Raw genomic sequence first — 18,086 nt, 5'->3', positions numbered from 1 at the left:
GAATCCAGTGCAATTTAGCAGTTACCCTTTGAAAGTGTTCTCATCAAGTCTACCAATGATCTTCTCATTGTAAACTTGGTACAGTTTTCTAAATCACATCTTGTTGATGAGTAGCCTTTAATAATAAGAACTACTCCCATCTTGAGTAGTTCATTTCCTTTGGATTCTGTCTTAGCTTGGATTTCCCTCAAATAGCTTGAAATATGTGCATGCTTGTGGTAAACTAGTTTTGAAAGTGATCCTAGATGTGGTAGGTTGAATAATTGCCACCCCCCCCAACCCCCACCAACCCCTTCATCAAGCTATGCACAGAATCTCCTTCCTTACATGGCAAAAGGGACTTTCCAGGTATGACTAAGTGGAAAGATTTTCCTGGGTTATCTAGGTGGGCTTTAAATGCAATCACAAGGGCCTTTAAAAGAGAGGGAGGCAAGAAGGACAAAGGAGGAAGTATGAGATATGTTAATTAAAGCAAGAGGTTGGAATTGTTCAGTAAAGATTATAGGTCATTGTTTTGGACTAAGTTCCTACTCTAAGCCCCAACAGACCAGACTAAAAGTCAAAATGAAATCACTCATACTGAGTCCCACCTCGTCAAACTAAATCCGAGTTGTCACCTGGCCTTCCCAGAAATCAGATGAGAAATCTAACAGCCTAATTTCCCAAAATGCTGGTTTTGGTCTACAAGATAATTAAGTTCCCTTGGTTTCAAATCTTGACTTAAAGTAGTCTGGTTAACCAATTGGTTAGCTTTCCATTCTCCCGTTGTCCCTGCCTTATAAGGAAAGTTAAGTTTGACATGACCAATCCACTTTTTGCTCTTTATTTCTGCTTTCTTCAACCTTTTTTTTTTTTTTTTTGGTCTACAAAGCCAATCTCCTATGTTCTACTCATTTAGACACTTATTTTATTTCAAAGAATAAAATGTTGCCCAATTCTAGAGTCTCAAAGAAAACTGACTGACATCTTTAAACTAAATTTGTTGTAATTTTGACAGAGTGATTTGAGGAACTGTCATGTGCCAAGGAATGCAGATGGCCTCCAGAAGCTAGCAAAGGCAAGGAAACAGGTTCTCTCTGAGTGTCTCCTGAAGAAACCAGCCCTGCAGACACCTTGATGTTATACAGTGAAACTGATGGAGGACTTCTGACTTCCAGAATAGTAAGAGAGTCTGTCTGTGTTGTCTTAAGCCACTGAATTTGTGGTAATTTGTTACAGCAGCAATACAAAACTGACTCACCAGGGAAAAAGGAATAAGGGATTGGGAAGAATAAAGACAGGAAAGAGAGAAAATCAAGGTTGAATTGATTTTTCCCATGGGCAACTGGGGCTTCATTCCACTGGGGACCTTCTGGGGTATCAGGTACAATGTCATGTCTGCCCAAGACATGGAAGAGTGAAGTATTTATTTACCGGCTCCTACTCCTTACTGGTTAAATCTTGAAAGTGGTGTTTATTCCCATGACTTTCCAGGGCAAGGAAAAAAAAATACACCTGTAGCTTCCTTCAGAGGCTTGTAATTCAATGGGAGACATAGTCAAGAAATGGGATAAAGTCCAGCGTAATATGTGATAGTGGTAAAGGTAAATTTATACTGTATGAAGAATAGAACAAAGTTTCCATAAGAGCCTCTGGAAAATATCATGGGGAAATGGTTACTTGAATTCATAAGTATGACTCCTTGAGATTGAAAAACAAGGGAGTTCATTCCAGGAAAAAAGGACAATATATACACAAGCAGGAAAGTAGAAAGGCCTATTGTCAACAGGTAGACGTTCTATGTAGATGGGGTGTGGCATTATATGGGCCAGTAAGAAGGAGATGCTGAAAGAGCTGAGACTGAAGGCCAGATCCAGAAAGGCTTTGTGGCTGTGGCTGTTGGCTGAGTACCTGAACATATGAGTACACAGCAGCAAACCCCTGACAAAACAAGAGTCTTTTGATGAAAACTTATTTGGTTCCACGTGGGGGTATGAGAACAAAACCCCAATTATGTGATTCTTTAAACTTCCCTATAGCAAATTTATAGTTATAAAAGTATCTTGAGTTATCAGCCTTGACTTTACATTTTCTTTCAACACTGTTTAGAGCAATTCTACAAAATAGAGAAAAAAGTTAATTAGAACATAAAGCAGGAAAAGTTTAATTCTTGTTTTCTATAAGAAGCTGGATTCAGTTCATACAGGCTTAACGATAATTCTATTTTGTGACTAATAATAATTACTCATGAATAATTATGGAATAGAAATGTGAAAAATATCTAATTAGAAAATAAATGCTTTAGCTCTAGCTCTCACTCTCGCTCTCCCTCTCCCTCTCCCTCTCCCTTTCCCTCTCCCTCTCCCCCCTCTCCCTCTCCCCACGGTCTCCCTCTCCCTCTCTTTCCACGGTCTCCCACTGATGCCGAGCCGAAGCTGGACTGTACTGCTGCCATCTCGGCTCACTGCAACCTCCCTGCCTGATTCTCCTGCCTCAGCCTGCCGAGTGCCTGCGATTGCAGGCGCGCGCCACCACGCCTGACTGGTTTTCGTATTTTTTTGGTGGAGACGGGGTTTCGCTGTGTTGGCCGGGCTGGTCTCCAGCTCTGAACCGCGAGTGATCCGCCAGCCTTGGCCTCCCGAGGTGCCGGGATTGCAGACGGAGTCTGGTTCACTCAGTGCTCAATGGTGCCCAGGCTGGAGTGCAGTGGCGTGATCTCGGCTCGCTACAACCTCCACCTCCCAGCCGCCTGCCTTGGCCTCCCAAAGTGCCAAGATTGCAGCCTCTGCCCGGCCGCCACCCCGTCTGGGAAGTGAGGAGTGTCTCTGCCTGGCCGCCCATCGTCTGGGACGTGAGGAGCCCTTCTGCCTGGCTACCCAGTGTGGAAAGTGAGGAGCGTCTCTGCCTGGCCGCCATCCCATCTAGGAAGTGAGGAGTGTCTCTGCCTGGCCGCCCATTGTCTAAGATGTGGGGAGCGCCTCTGCCCCGCCGCCCCGTCTGGGATGTGAGGAGCACCTCTACCCGGCCGCGACCCCGTCTGGGAGGTGAGGAGCGTCTCTGCCCTGCCCCCCCGTCTGAGAAGTGAGGAGACCCTCCGCCTGGCAACCGCCCCATATGAGAAGTGAGGAGCCCCTCCGCCCGGCAGCCACCCCGTCTGGGAAGTGAGGAGCGTCTCTGCCCGGCAGCCCCCCCATCCGGGAGGGAGGTGGGGGTCAGCCCCCTCCAGGCCAGCCGCCCCGTCCGGGAGGGAGGTGGGGGGGTCAGCCCCCCGCCCGGCCAGCTGCCCCGTCTGGGAGGTGAGGGGCACCTCTGCCCGGCCGCCCCTACTGGGAAGTGAGGAGCCCCTCTGCCCAGCCACCACCCCGTCTGGGAGGCGTACCCAACAGCTCATTGAGAACGGGCCATGATGACAATGGCGGTTTTGTGGAATAGAAAGGGGGGAAAGGCGGGGAGAGGATTGAGAAATCGGATGGTTGCCATGTCTGTGTAGAAAGAGGTAGACGCGGGAGACTTCATTTTGTTCTGTACTAAGAAAAATTCTTCTGCCTTGTGATCCTGTTGATCGGTGACCCTACCCCCAACCCTGTGCTCTCTGAAACATGTGCTGTGTCCACTCAGGGTTAAATGGATTAAGGGTGGTGCAAGATGTGCTTTGTTAAACAGATGCTTGAAGGCAGCATGCTTGTTAAGAGTCATCACCACTCCCTAACCTCAAGTACCCAGGGACACAAACACTGCGGAAGGCGGCAGGGTCCTCTGCATAGGAAAACCAGAGACCTTTGTTCACTTGTTTATCTGCTGACCCTCCCTCCACTATTGTCCTATGACCCTGCCAAATCCCCCTCTGTGAGAAACACCCAAGAATGATCAATAAAAAAAAAAAAAAAGAAAATAAAATAAATAACTCCCCCAAATTAGGTATTTATTATTGCAATTAGGTATTATTAGAACCAATAATGACACGATGGAAACACAAGATATTAATGAATACATTGTTAGCCATTGTATGTATTTTGTTATGTCAGAAATCAATTTGACATTTTCTGAAGACATTTAGTTGAAACTGTTATTGCAAATGTAAACAATCTGGGGTGATAATTCCATATTTTAGCTACTGTATTAATCATACATCCAATTAAAAGCAGAATTTCTTGCTGTGATGAAGATAGATCTGTCTCAGTTAATTGAAAGGTGAAATACCTTGAGAAATTGTGATGATGTGTAGGGTCACCCTGCTAGTTCAGATTTTACAAGAAAAGTGTCCTAAATATTGTATTAGCTCAGAGAAATAATACAGGTACCAGACTTCTCTAAGGAAAGGCTTAATTAAGAAGAGAGATTTAATAAGCCTTTAAAGAGGCATTTTGAAACTTTGTGGTTGCCATGATAGTCTGGAATTGTCATATTTAACTTTATTCACTTATGAGTTAGTGTATTATTTTAGAATAACTTTTTAGTGAGCCAGAAATATAGGAGGGAGGCTTGCACTGCCCATTGCCTTATAGGCTGCCTGAGTATCCCTTAGCTAATTTTTGGATTTCAGAGATATAGCGGCACTTCAGCACTCACTCTGAAGTACACACTTAATATTTGGCTCTCTTGAGAGACCTGGCTCATGCAGTGAAGGAAGGGCACACAAAGCCTGCCCTAAGAGTCTTTGTAACAGCAAGGAAAGGATACATTTCTGACCAGGTTTGGGGCCCTATTGGTTTCTAACACACAACTTAAATTTCCACATTAGCTCATATTCTCTAAGGCTCCTGGACCAGGTCATCCCAGTGCTGGCTTGACGCATGATGACCTGGGGCACATTTTATTGACTGGTCCATGAAAGAACCAACCTCTAAGGCAGCTATGAAACCTTGCTAAGGTGATTGGATTTTGTTCAATGTAGGATTTTGTTTATAAATTGGAAGAACTGAAATTAGCTGAAATGGAAAAAAGAGAATTGGTCACTTTACGGAATAGATACATTGAGAAAGACACCATTGGGATTTATGCCTCCTGGTGAGATATTTATTGTAAGAATGTTTTACTGTAAACAATACTGTAAGCTTAGGTGATGCCCTCCAGCTGGGCACATGATACCACTCGAGAGTGGAAGTCTACACATTGAACTTGGCTTTCAATCCTGTAGGAATTCTAAGACCATGGTGGAGATATGATTTTGGACTGAAAAATGCATATGAGACCCACAGCTGTTTGGAAAATTTATAGGCTTAAGTGTAGGGAGTGCAGGGTAGGAGAAGGCATCCTCTGTGCTTGGACTTAGGTCAGCTTCTAGGTGGGTGATGAAAGAAAAGGAATTAACAATTACTGAGTACCACTACATACCAGGTTCTATGATTACCTCATTTATTTTTTATAGCTCTATGAGTTAGGTATTATCGCTGTTTTACAGATTAGGAATTTGGAGAAACTAAGACAGTTGTCCAAAGCCATACATTTAGTTCTCACCAAAGTTGAGATGTAAAGCAATTTTTGTCTGTGTCAGTAAATCCATGCTCTTTCCCATACTAGGCTACCTCCTAATAAAGGACGTAGGTTTTCTTGGGATCCACTTAGGACAGGAGTCCAAGGATACCTTAGTAGGATATCACTTTAATTGGAGAGAGTATTCTAGCTTTATCAATGTTTTCTCCTCCCTCTTCTCCCCTCTCCATACCTTCTTGAGACTAGGGAGACCCCCACACATATTTCATTCATTTTATAATTCTTTACAGAATAATGGAAATAGCCTAGGCTCAGACTAGTCTTCAACTGAGTCTAGATGAGAAATTGCCATTTACCTCATCAATATCAGACATGTTTTAGATTTTGAATCTGCTGCTGCTTGTGTAGACCTTATTTGTAAGTGCTCTGAAAAAAGACCTAAGAGCATAGGCTCTGGAATCAAATAAACCTTGACTTGTATCTATTTTTATCTCCTCAACAAAGCTCTGTTACTCTGGGTAAATTATTTAACTTCTCTGAGTTTCAGTTTCCTAATCTGTAAAATGGGGATGAAACAAAATAACGAATGCATGCTCCACTTAGCAGGTGCTCAAGTACATGGAAATGAAAAGCAGGAGAAAATGCCTTCACAACACTGTTTATCCAAACAACAAAAGAGAAAACCTGAGTCTTTTAAACCTCACAACTAGAATTTTCTGCCTTGTGTATTAACAGCCAAGAAACAACTCCAGCATGTTACCTGCAGTGATCTGTGAAGCACAGAAGGTTTGCAGAGAAACTCAGATCATCCATCAGCAAAACAGAACAAATTGTTTCTTAAGGCTATCATATAATCTTGCTATCATTTCCTTAATTCTAACTCTTACTTTCAACTATGATTCACATCTGCAGTTGTACTTTGAGGTGCACAGTTAGAGAATGGCTTTTGTTGGTAAAATAAAAATTGTGAGTTTTCATTTTCTGTCTTGCGCCTTATCAACAAGTCTCAATGCTACTCCTACATTACCGCATCATCTAACTCAGCCTATTTACCTATGTACAAATCCTCAGTGGATGGGAAAGAAGAAGGAGAAATACTGGCCTTTTTAACTCATCTGAGCGGCACGGGAACACTTGTTTTCCATTTGGACCTCTGTTTCCTTCAATGACTGTCCATCTGCATAAAGAACCTTTTACTTCTCTGCATGTTGACTTCTGAGAGAGCCCACCACATGAGATCCTTAAAAGTTAAAAGCAGGAAAAGCATGAAAAAGCACCCATGGGACTTCTTTCTAGTGCCTTTGCACCTAGCCTTGCTGTGGCAAGCTGTCTACCAGAGAACAAGTGACTTTTCATTGAGCCACATAGCCATTGTTTATGAGGCTATTTCTAACTCACTCTCTAGACTTTTGACACAGTGAAAAAGATAATCTTGTGAGTGAATGACTTTGAGTCTTGATGAATACTCACAACAATAGTTGAAGAGCTAATACGTGTGTGTGTGTTTGCAAGCACATGCATGAACTCACTGGGGCCTGTGTTGGACTGTGAGGTGGTCTCCTTCAATCTCATGTTAAATTATTCTCTTCGAGATGAAAAATAAATCTAGTTTTTTCTTCCAGGAAAATCTATTCATTATTCCTTCTCAGTTTCTTTAATTTTGAAACAAGTTAACTGTGTAGAAAGAAGGCCTGGAACTAGGGGCTATGTGTGATCCATTCGTTGAGCAGAAAGCACGAAATAGGCCATGAGGGATCTGGAGCTTAAGTGTAGTGAACTCCGGAGAGCAGTAGCAAAGAATCACAGTGCCCACAGCCAGCTACACCGAGTACCGAAAACAGGTCATTGGCTTCTGCCCTGCAATTCACGGTAACTGCCAGCGATATTTCTACATAGGGGAATACATGTTACACAACAGCTCCCTTTGCAGGAAACCTCCATCCTGGGGAGTTGAAATTGCATTAGGATTACTTCTCTGCAAGCACGCTGACACCAATATGCAATATGTAGTATGAGAAACCAAAAAGCCATTAATCTAAAGCAGGAACTTAAACAATTGCATCTAACTCTGGAAGAATTCCATTGAATTAGAATGCCTTTCTAAACTGAAACTGCTTTGACTGAATTCAACATTGCAAATAAAGATTTAAATTTAGCAAAACAATCAGATTTAAATGTAAATGACCTACTCCCACATTTATTCCAACTTTTTAATTGGAATCTTTGGAATTGAATAAATATATTCATTCATCCATCCATTCATTCAATATTTATTGGGTACGTATTCAAGGACGTGCTTTGTGCTAGGGATTAGGATTACAAATATGAATAAATTATGATCCCTGACTTCGAGAAGTGTGCAGGACAATGGTGAAGACAGATGAGGAATCAGATAGGTATAACACAGTTTGACAAGGGTTCATCAAAGACATTGGAAGTACAAAAGACACTACTTCACTTGGGTTCTCAGTTTATTGAATTTTGATGCTGTGCAGCCAGTGTCTCTAAACTAGGGTGCCTACCCCAGTTAATCTGCAATCTACATTCAGAAAGGACAGGAGAGTGCCAACCAGTATTGTGCCACCTTTCCTAGAAGGAAATATTTCAGGAATATTTCAACTGGACTTGACCTAGAAATCCTCATTATATTAATAACCGGCTCTGGAAGAGATGTCACACTTCAGCCCTTGCCCACCTTCCATGAGAAAGCGTCTTGCTCGTGACTTTACATTCATAAATACGCTCACAATGCCAAGGGATGTTTTTTTTCTTCCATCAATTCATTAGATCTGCTCACATGAATTATTTATATGCAGTGCTAAAAATGATTCTGAAACATTACAAGAATTCAATATCAGTTTTCACAGTGGGATTTCATCATTTTAGCATTGCAGTATGGTAGCCTAATGCAATACTAATAAGATATGGTGCTAATAGGGTACAACGAGAATTCTCTCTAATATGCAAACATTTCCATGTTGTCTTATTATTTCTTTTAAGTTAATATGCTATGGTGATAATATGATGAAATGAATTAGCTTCATATCATTGTCTGCATGAGTTGTGCATATTAACGGCATCTTTCTTCCCCCACCCCTCCTTTGAATTTACTTGGAATGAGCTTGAAAACTTACCCTGTAGTTATGCTTATGTTAATGAGGCTGTTTAGTAGGAAACATCCCTGCCGTTGCTTAGCCAGCTGGAGAAACAATAGATGCGTATCCCTTCTCTTTGGAATGAAATGTTTCCTGGCCTCCCTTCAAAGGGTCTATCTCCATCAGGCTGCTTTAGTATTCTCCACTTGTTCACAATCTCAATCCACCCATGTGTTAGACATTTTACCAGCAACATTTAACCAGATTGTATATTTCTATTAGATATGAAGCAAATCTTTTCCAAGAGAAACTGAATGCATGGCCAACTGGCCCAAAGCTTCGGAATATTTAAACACATGCACACACACACACACACACACACACACACAGACACACACACACAGACAAACCTACATGCATATATACATGAAATGCATAGAAACATACACATATTTGTGTGTGTGGATTATGTATAGACATGTTTACATATGTATACAGACATACACATATGTGCTGCTTTGTTTTTGTGTGTAAATTACATAAAAGTTTATGGAATTCATGCCATAACCAACATTTCTTTTCTGGCTGTTAAATCCTGGGTGGATTAGGTCCAGTGAGTATGAATCTTCCAGATTTCAGTGTTTATTCATTTTCAAATACATAACCAAAAGCCAGATGCTTATCCAAATCTTAGCTGACATTTGCAAATCATGTATTTCTCACCCAAACCTGTGTGACCTTTCCTATGGAGTTGCTATCAGGTTCAACGAATTCAGTTTCAGAAATCCCAGATGTCATTGCTTTCAGGAGACTTCTAAAGCTCCTTCTTAGCCTTTCAATCAAGTTTCTTCAAAAGGTACCTTAATAAGGATCAGGACCACATGCCAGGCTATATGGTATCTTAGTGCAAACTAGCAAAAGGTTTGGACCAGCACAGTTCCTCAGGAAGGAGTGTGGTGGGTGAAACTAGGCTGGACTTCTGTTTCCTCTCATCCGCTCGGATAGGCTTTCTTGGGTTGCAACTCCAGTGATGTTTTGTCTTTCCCTTCTAGGAACACCTCTGAGTGGGAATGTTTCTATCTTAATGGTAGTTTGAGGTTGTACAAGCAATACAATTCTTATCCAACTACACTTAACCTACCTGTAGCTCATTTCTTCATTTGCAAAATGAACAAAGATATGATCTCTGGTGACCTCCAACTTTGAACACTATTATCTATGATTGAACATGATAAACCTCTTCATCATTTTAATGGGAGAAATAATGAGTTTCTGCATTTGGTGGGAGAAAGAGAATACTATGAAAAAAAAAGTAGGCTTAAAAGAAAAGCAATGTGGGCAATTTCAAATATTACAGTTTGGATTCTGGGCTTTCAATAGGATTAAGTATAAGTAATATGCTTTCTTAATAAAGGAAGTTACTAAGAAGAATGTAGGTGTGTTGCACATCTGCAAGATGCAAATACTGGCAAATATCAGTGGGTTGATTATTAAGCTGAAACTGAATATGTAACATTTGAAAGACATTAGTAAAATGTATATTTTAGGGCCTTGTAATATGACCTTGGTTATTGGAATAAAATATTATGATTAGACTACATGGAGGACCACCCCAAATGCCACCCCAAAATATTCCATTTGACGTAAGTATTATTTTGAGCTACAGGCAAATGAGATCAACAGATTCAGAAAGAAGTGTTCTTGGAGCTTCTCTTCTCTAAAAGCAGAAACTGGCCAGGCACGGTGGCTCATGCCTGTAATCTTAGCACTTTGGGAGGGCAAGGTGGGAGGATTTCTTGAGCTCAGGAGTTAGAGACCAGCCTGGACAACTGTCTGTACAAAACAATAGAGAAAGTAGCCAGGCATAGTGGCACAGGCCTGTAGTCCCAGCTGTTGGGGAGGCTGGGGTGAAAGAATCACCTGAGCCCAGGAGGTCGAGGATGCTGTGAGCTGAGATCGTGCCACTGCACTCCAGCCTGGGAGACAGAACAAGAACCTGTCTCAAAAAAGCAAAAACAAAAATAAAACAAAACAATAACAACAAAAAGCAACTCCTAAGAAATAAGAGCAATCTCCTCTCCTGTGGAAGTTTTACAGCTATGAAGAAGATGGAAAGTTGGCACCAAGATGGACCTGCACAACCTTACCTTACTCCCCCATATATTTACCTTCCTACAATATGCAGTTCCTACAGGCCTAAAACCTTTGTTTTGTTTTGTTTATCTCTTCTCTGCAAATTTACTCTTCTTTGTTAAAATCCTATATATACCCCAAGTTTTAACTACCCCTTTGTGTTGCTCATCACTGACTTTCTCAGCATTTATGCTTGCTTGTCATGTTAATAAATTCTGCTTGCTTTCTTCTTGTTAATATCTCTTTTGTTTTAATTTTGAGGGGTCCAGCCAGCCATAGAACCCAGGAGGGAAGAGGAAAATAATTTTTCCCCTTTCTTATAACTTATAAAAGGACAAAGATGGATTTTTTAGTGAAAGTACTCCCAACGGCTCTGATAATAGGAAAAATGATGCCAAATCTCCCTTACTCTGCATCAGATGTGAATATATATTTGGATCGTTTTTTGTCTACATTCACCTAAGAAAGAATCAGATTTATTCTGAGGTCTACGAATGACTTCCTCTTTGTATATCACATTGGACAATGGAGAATAAATGAATATTGGGAGAGAGTCCATCGATTCACCTTTGAGTCAATTCAATTTCTTTAGCAGACCATTATTTCCCTGAAAGTTACAGTTATTTCATTATAATTTTATGCTTCTCTTCCTTTCTCTACTAAGACCTAGTCAGAGCAGATGGCCTTTTTGCAGCTCTGTAGCCAGGGTAGTTGGCTTTTCTGGTATAATTTTGCATCTTTTCCTTTCTTCACAGTTCCCTCTTAAGGTAGCTAGCTTAATTGGGGTTAGAAATGTACTCATCATGTGCAACATTACTTAAATATAAAATTTCACTGTAGCATCGATGAAAACTTTTTAGGCTCAAAAATGTCATCAACAAAGAGTCTGGTGCTTCTTTAATTATCCGATTTCCAAAGCTATAGTACATAATTCCTTGTTTAATCAGAGCTTAAATTCTGAAGAAACTCATATGGATGACATTTCCTCTCAATTTTGAATGGGGATTATTTTAAGAGGATACAGAACTTAGAAATATTTCAATGGAGCTGATATTTAAAGCATATTTAGTGGCATTTATGTTTTAATCTGCTTATTGACTAGGCATTAAAGGGAGCTGTTAGCATTTTAGCAGTGATTAAAAGAACCAGAAATTTTTTGATATAATGAGCAAGGCAGTATTTCCAGAATGTGGTGCTAATAATTTTTTTTAACTTACAGAATGATGTAGCCTCTTTTCAGTGAGGCATTGCCATATGAAAAACTTTTATTTGGACTTTTTTTTTTTTTTGCTACTGGTACAAGAAATTCCATTTACAGATACATTTTCCCCAATTGTATAAAACATAAAGATTTATTGAATTTCATTGTTAAGCCACTTTCTTATCTTATGTATTATCAGAATCAACAGCCACAAAAGTAATTATGAAAGCAATAATAACAATTGTTACCCAGGGTCAATATGAGGCTCTGTACAAGATATCAGACATGCTAGGGTAGAAAAAAACAATTCTTCTCTCAAGGAACTTCCATACCAAATTGTCATTCTGTAGTACAATACCTGGCATATCTAGATAGTCAATAATACTTACTGAATAAATGAATGAGTGAATGATTCGGCCCCAATCACCAAGGCAATTTATTGAATGATTACTGACTTCACAATCAGCTATTACAATCTACTCCATTTAGGCTTTGTTTGCATAATGGCAAAACACCCATCAGATCAGTAACTTTAGAGAAACAAATAGATTTTTTTTTTTTTGAGACGGGGTCTCCCTCTGTAGCCTCTGTCATCCAGGCTGCAGGCTGCAGGCTGCAGTGCAGTAGCTCCATATCAGCTCACTGCAGCAATGACCTCCCCATCTTAGGTGATCCTCCCACCTCAGCCTTCAGAGTACCTGGGACCACAAATGCATGCCCGGCTAATTTTTTTTTTTTTTTTTTTGGTAGAAGTGGGGTTTTGCTTTGTTGTTCAGGCTGGTCTTGAACTACTGGGCTCGAGCGATCCACTCTCATCAGTCTCCCAAAGTGCTAGGATTACAGGGGTAAGCCACTGCTCCCGGTCTGTTTTTTGATAACTTACATAAAATAATAGATCATTTAATGGGCTTCTTGATTTTTTTCAAGTTGTCTTTGTTGCAACAATTGTTTGTTTGTTTGTTTTTTGAGACAGGATCTCACTCGGTCTCCCAGTATGGAGTGCGGTGGCACGATCTCAGCTCACTGCAACCTCTGCTTCCTGGGCTCAAGCTATCCCCCCCACCTCAGCCTCCTGAGTAGCTGTATTTACAGGCATGTGCCATCATGCCTGGCTAATTTTTTCCTTTTTTTTCTTTTCTTTTTTTTTTTTTTTTTTTTGGTAGGGACAGGGTTTTGCATGTAACCCAGGGTGGTCTCAAAGCCCAGGTGGACTCGAGCAGTCTGTCCAATCTCTTGCCTCCCAAAGTGCTAAGATTATAGGCATGAGCCACCGCAACAAGACGCAACATTTTTTTTTAAATCCAGAAAAAAATAAACAGAAGTTACCAAAATAGCAGAAATTTATCATTTAAAAAACAATAGCTTTCTTGAGCTGTGACATGTGTATGCTGATAACTGCCAGTAGGTATATAATCAAAGCTCCTTTTCGTTGTTTTCTGTTAATATTGGTGACCCCAAACAATAAGGTGAGTTTCTGAAACATATAAATTGAGCCTTTTTTTCAGCCAAACCATCTGATTCAGTTTTACTTAAAATACTCAGTGGTACCAAAGTAGGTTTTATTTAATTTTCTTCATTACTTTTTTCAAATGTTGCATATTCTTTTAGACAATTTTTTCCTTTGTATAGGAATCAATTTTGTTTAAATACAGAAACCATCCCCTGACTATTTCTTTCCCAAAGAACATCAGAAAAATCTAAAAGGAACATTTATAGGTAACTTGGATATGAATATAAAGTAGCAATAGCTGTAATAGTCTTTCTGTAAATATTGCTATAAAGTAAAATTAAATAAATTGATCCAAGGAGTCAACGAGAGAACAGAAAGTAAGTTAAAAGAGCCTGGTATGCACCTCAATATCTCTACCTAGGGACTGCCTTTTTCATCTTGCTCAATTTCTACTTTAGACAAAATGAGAAAATACTACCTATGACCACATAAAATTGGCATTTCTTGGGCAATGGACACTATTCTAGGCATCAGGGAACCAGGACAAAAAGTCGAATTACAAGACTGTGAGTGGCTGCGACATTAATGTCACACAAAGGCAGGTTGGGTTAAGCTTAAAAGCAGTTTTCTTTTTTGTTCTTTCTTTAATTCTATCTTTATTTGCACCATAAAAATTGTCAATGAATAATTAGGACTCACAAGCTTTCAAAATAGGGGACACAATAAAGATGAAAAACTGAGATATAACTGCATTTAATTTTCATAAAGTATGAAATTATTGAGGAATTCCCTTTCCATGTGGTTTAGGGTTGCTTATAGATGCAGTCCAGCAAACTCCAGTTTGAAGTAATACTTACCTTTTTTCTTCTTTGAATGATTAATTTTTTTATCAATTTCTTGTATTTGTACGACTCGAACTTGGTCTTGACTCTTCATATATAACTAATTTGCATATGGATAATCACAGGATATAAATATTTATTGACATTTTAGTTATCTGAGGATAAATTTTAAAAATATCTTAAGTTCCTTTTACCCAGACCCAGTACACCATGTTTGACTATCAAAGAAAAAATATAAGACATACTAAATGACAAAAACCACAGTTTGAGGAGATAGACCAAGCATCATAGCCGGGATGCTTGGTATGCTCAGGATGTTGGAATTGTTAGACTGGAAATTTAAATCAACTATGATTAATATGGCATTTGCTTTAATGGATAAAGTAAATATTATTCAAGAACAAATGGGCAATGTAAGCAGACAGATGGAAACTCTAAGAAAGATTCAAAAAGAAATGCTAGAGATGAAAAACATTGTAACAGAAATGAAGAATACCTTTGATGTGCTTATGAGATTAGCTACAGGTAAAAAAATTCTTTTTGAGCTTGAGGATATTTCAGTAGAAACTTCCAAAACTGAAAAAGAGAAAAGAAACGACTGAAAAAAAATAGAACAGAATATCAAAGAACTGTGAAAATGAAAACACAACTTATCAAAATTTGTGATGCAGTAAAAATAGTGCTTAGTAAGAAATTTATAGCATTGAATGTATATGTTATAAAACAGAAAGATCTAAAAATCAATAATCTAAGCTTCCATTTTAGGAAACTAGAAAAAGAAGAGCAAATTAAGTCCGGAATAATAAGAAGAAAAGAAATAATAAAAATTAGAAAAAATCAATAAAATTGAAATAGGAAATCAATGGAGAAAATCAACAAAACCAAAAACTGGTTCTTTGGAAAAAGTCAGTAAAATTGATAAGCCTCTGGCAAGCCTAATTAAGAAAAATAGGGAGATAACACGAATAACTAATATTAGAAATGAGGAAGAAGCATCATTACAGATCTCATGGACATTGAAAGGATAATAAAATAATACTTTGAAAAACTCTATGCCACAAATATTATAATCTAGATGAAAGTGATCAATTCCTTCAAAGAAACAATCTGCCAAAAGTCACCCAAGGAAAAATAGACACTCTCATAGGACCATATCTATTAAGGAAATCAAATCAATAATTAAAAGACTTCTAAAACGGAAGACATCAGGTATTAATGGTTCACTGGTGAACCAAATGCCAAACATTTAAGGAAAAAAATGTACCAATTCTCTATAATCTCTTCTGGAAGATAGAAGCAGAGGAATATACTTAAAAACTCATTCTATGAGGCCAGTATTACCCTAATACCAAAACTAGACAAAGTTATTATAAGAAAAGAAAACAACATACTAATATCCTTCATGAACATAGTTATAAAATTTCTTAATAAAATATTAGCAAATAAAATCCAACAATGTATAAAAAAAGTTATACACTATGACCAAATTGGTCTTATCATAAATCTGCAAATCTGGTTCAAAATTTCAAAATCTATCACATGCACAGGCTAAAGAAAAAACGTCACATAATTATATCAATAAATGCAAAAACGCTTTTGAAAAAAATTCAACATGGATTAATGCTGGAAACTCTTAGTAAACTAGAAGTAGAGGGGGATTTCCTCAATTTGGTAAGAAATATCTACAAAAAATCCACAGCTAACAACTTATTTAATGCTGAGACATACAAAACTTTCTCACTAAGATCAGGAGCAAGGCAAAGATGTCCCCTCTCACCACTATTTTTCAACATCATACTAAAATTCTTAGCTGATGCCAGAAGGAAAGAAAATGATATAAAAGATATACTGATAGGAAAGGAAGAAATAAAACTGCCTTTGTTAGTAGTGACATGATAGTCTATATAGAAAACCCAAAATAATTAAAAAATTCCTGGAATTAAAAACTAATATAGCAAAGTTGCAGCATATAAGGTTAACACACAAGAATCAACCACTATAAATCTAATGAAAACATATTCATTATCTATATGAGGACCCCTGAAAACACTGATGAAGCCTGGGCGTGGTGGCTCTTGCCTGTAATCCCAGAACTTTGGGAGTTCAAGGCCGAGGATCACTTAAGGTTAGTAGTTCGAGACCAGCCTGGCCAACATGGTGAAACACTGTCTCTTCTAAAAATAGGAAAATTAGTGAGGCATGGTGGTGCACACCTGTCATCCCTGCTACTTGGGAGGCTGAGGCACGAGAATCGCTTGAACCCAGGAGGCAGAGGTTGTAGTGAGTTGAAACCATGCCACTGCACACCAGCCTGGGCAACAGAACAAGATTCTATCTCAAAAAAAACAAACAAACAAAAACATGTTGATGCAAGAAATCAAATAACTAAATAAATAGAGAGATATTCTATGTTCATGGAAAGGAAGAATCAATATAGTCAAGATGTCAGTTCTTCCCAAAATGACCTATAAATTTAATGCAATTCCAAACAAATTCCAGCAAATTGTTTTGTAGATACTGACAAATTTAAACTAAAGTTTATCTGAAGAGGCAAAAGACTCAGACTAGCCATCACAATATTTAAGGAGAAGAACAAAGTTGGAAGACTGACACTATCCTTTATCAAGACTTAATATAAAGCTACAATAATCAAGATTGTGTAATATTGGTGAGAGAATAAACGAATAGATCAATAAAACAGAATGGAGAACCCAGAAATAGATCCACATAAATATAGTCAACTAATCTTTGAAAAAGGAGAAAAGGCAATTAATGGAACAAAGATAGTTGTTTCAACAAATGGTGCTGGAACAATGGAAAATTCACATGAAAAAAACAAACCAGACACAGACCTGGCACCCTTCACAAAAATTAACTCTAAATGGATCATAGACCTAAATGTAAAATGCAAGATCATAAAACTCCTAAGAGATAACACAAGAGAAAATATACATAATGTTGGGCTTGGCAATGACTTTTTAAATATAAGACTGAAGGCAGAAACCACAAAAGAAATGAATAATGACCGGGCACGGTGGCTCACACCTGTAATCCCAGCACTTTGGGAGGCCAAGGCAGGCAAATCACAAGGTCAGGAGTTTGAGACCAGCCTGGCCTGCATGGTGAAACCCCATCTCCACTAAAAATACAAAAAATTAGCTGGGCATGGTGGCAGACACCTGTAATCCCAGCTACTTGGGAGGCTGAGGCTGGAGAATCACTTGAACCCTGGAGGTGGAGGTTGCAGTAAGCCAAGATCGCGCCACTGTACTCCAGCCCAGGCGACAGTGTGAGACTCCATCTCCAAAAAAAAAGAAGAAAGAAAGAAAGAAAAAGAAATGAATAATAAGCTGAACTTTATTAAATTTAGGACTCATGCTATGCAAAAATAAAAGACCCCCTGCCAAAAGAACAAAGAGACAAGCCACTGATTGATAGAAATATTTAAAAAGTATATCTTATAAAAGACTGTTATTTAAAATATACAAAGAACTCTTAAAACTCCACAATAAGATAATGAAAAACCCAATTAAAAATGGGCTAAAGTCTTTAATAGACAACTCACCGAAGAAAATATACAGATGCTAAATGAACATATGAAAAGATGCTCCACATCATATATCATTAGGAAAATGCAAATTAAAAAAACAACGAGATACCACTGATATACATTTTAGACAGGCCAAAATCCAAAACACTGACCACACCAAATGCTAATGAGGATGTGGAGCAACAGGAACTTTCATTGCTCGTGGGAATAGAAAATGGTATAGCCACTTTAGAAGACAGCTTGGCAGTTTCTTACAAAACTAAATATGCTCTTAGCATGCAATCCAGTAACTGCCCTCCTTGGTATTTACCTAAATGGCTGAAAACTTATGTCCACACAAAAACATGCACGTGGATGTCTATAGCAGCTTTATGCATAATTTCCAAAACTTGGAAGCAACCAA

Source organism: Homo sapiens, chromosome 1 (genome assembly GCF_000001405.40).
Source record: "Homo sapiens chromosome 1, GRCh38.p14 Primary Assembly".
Taxonomy (NCBI): domain Eukaryota; kingdom Metazoa; phylum Chordata; class Mammalia; order Primates; family Hominidae; genus Homo; species Homo sapiens.
This window is presented reverse-complemented; position numbering follows the sequence as displayed.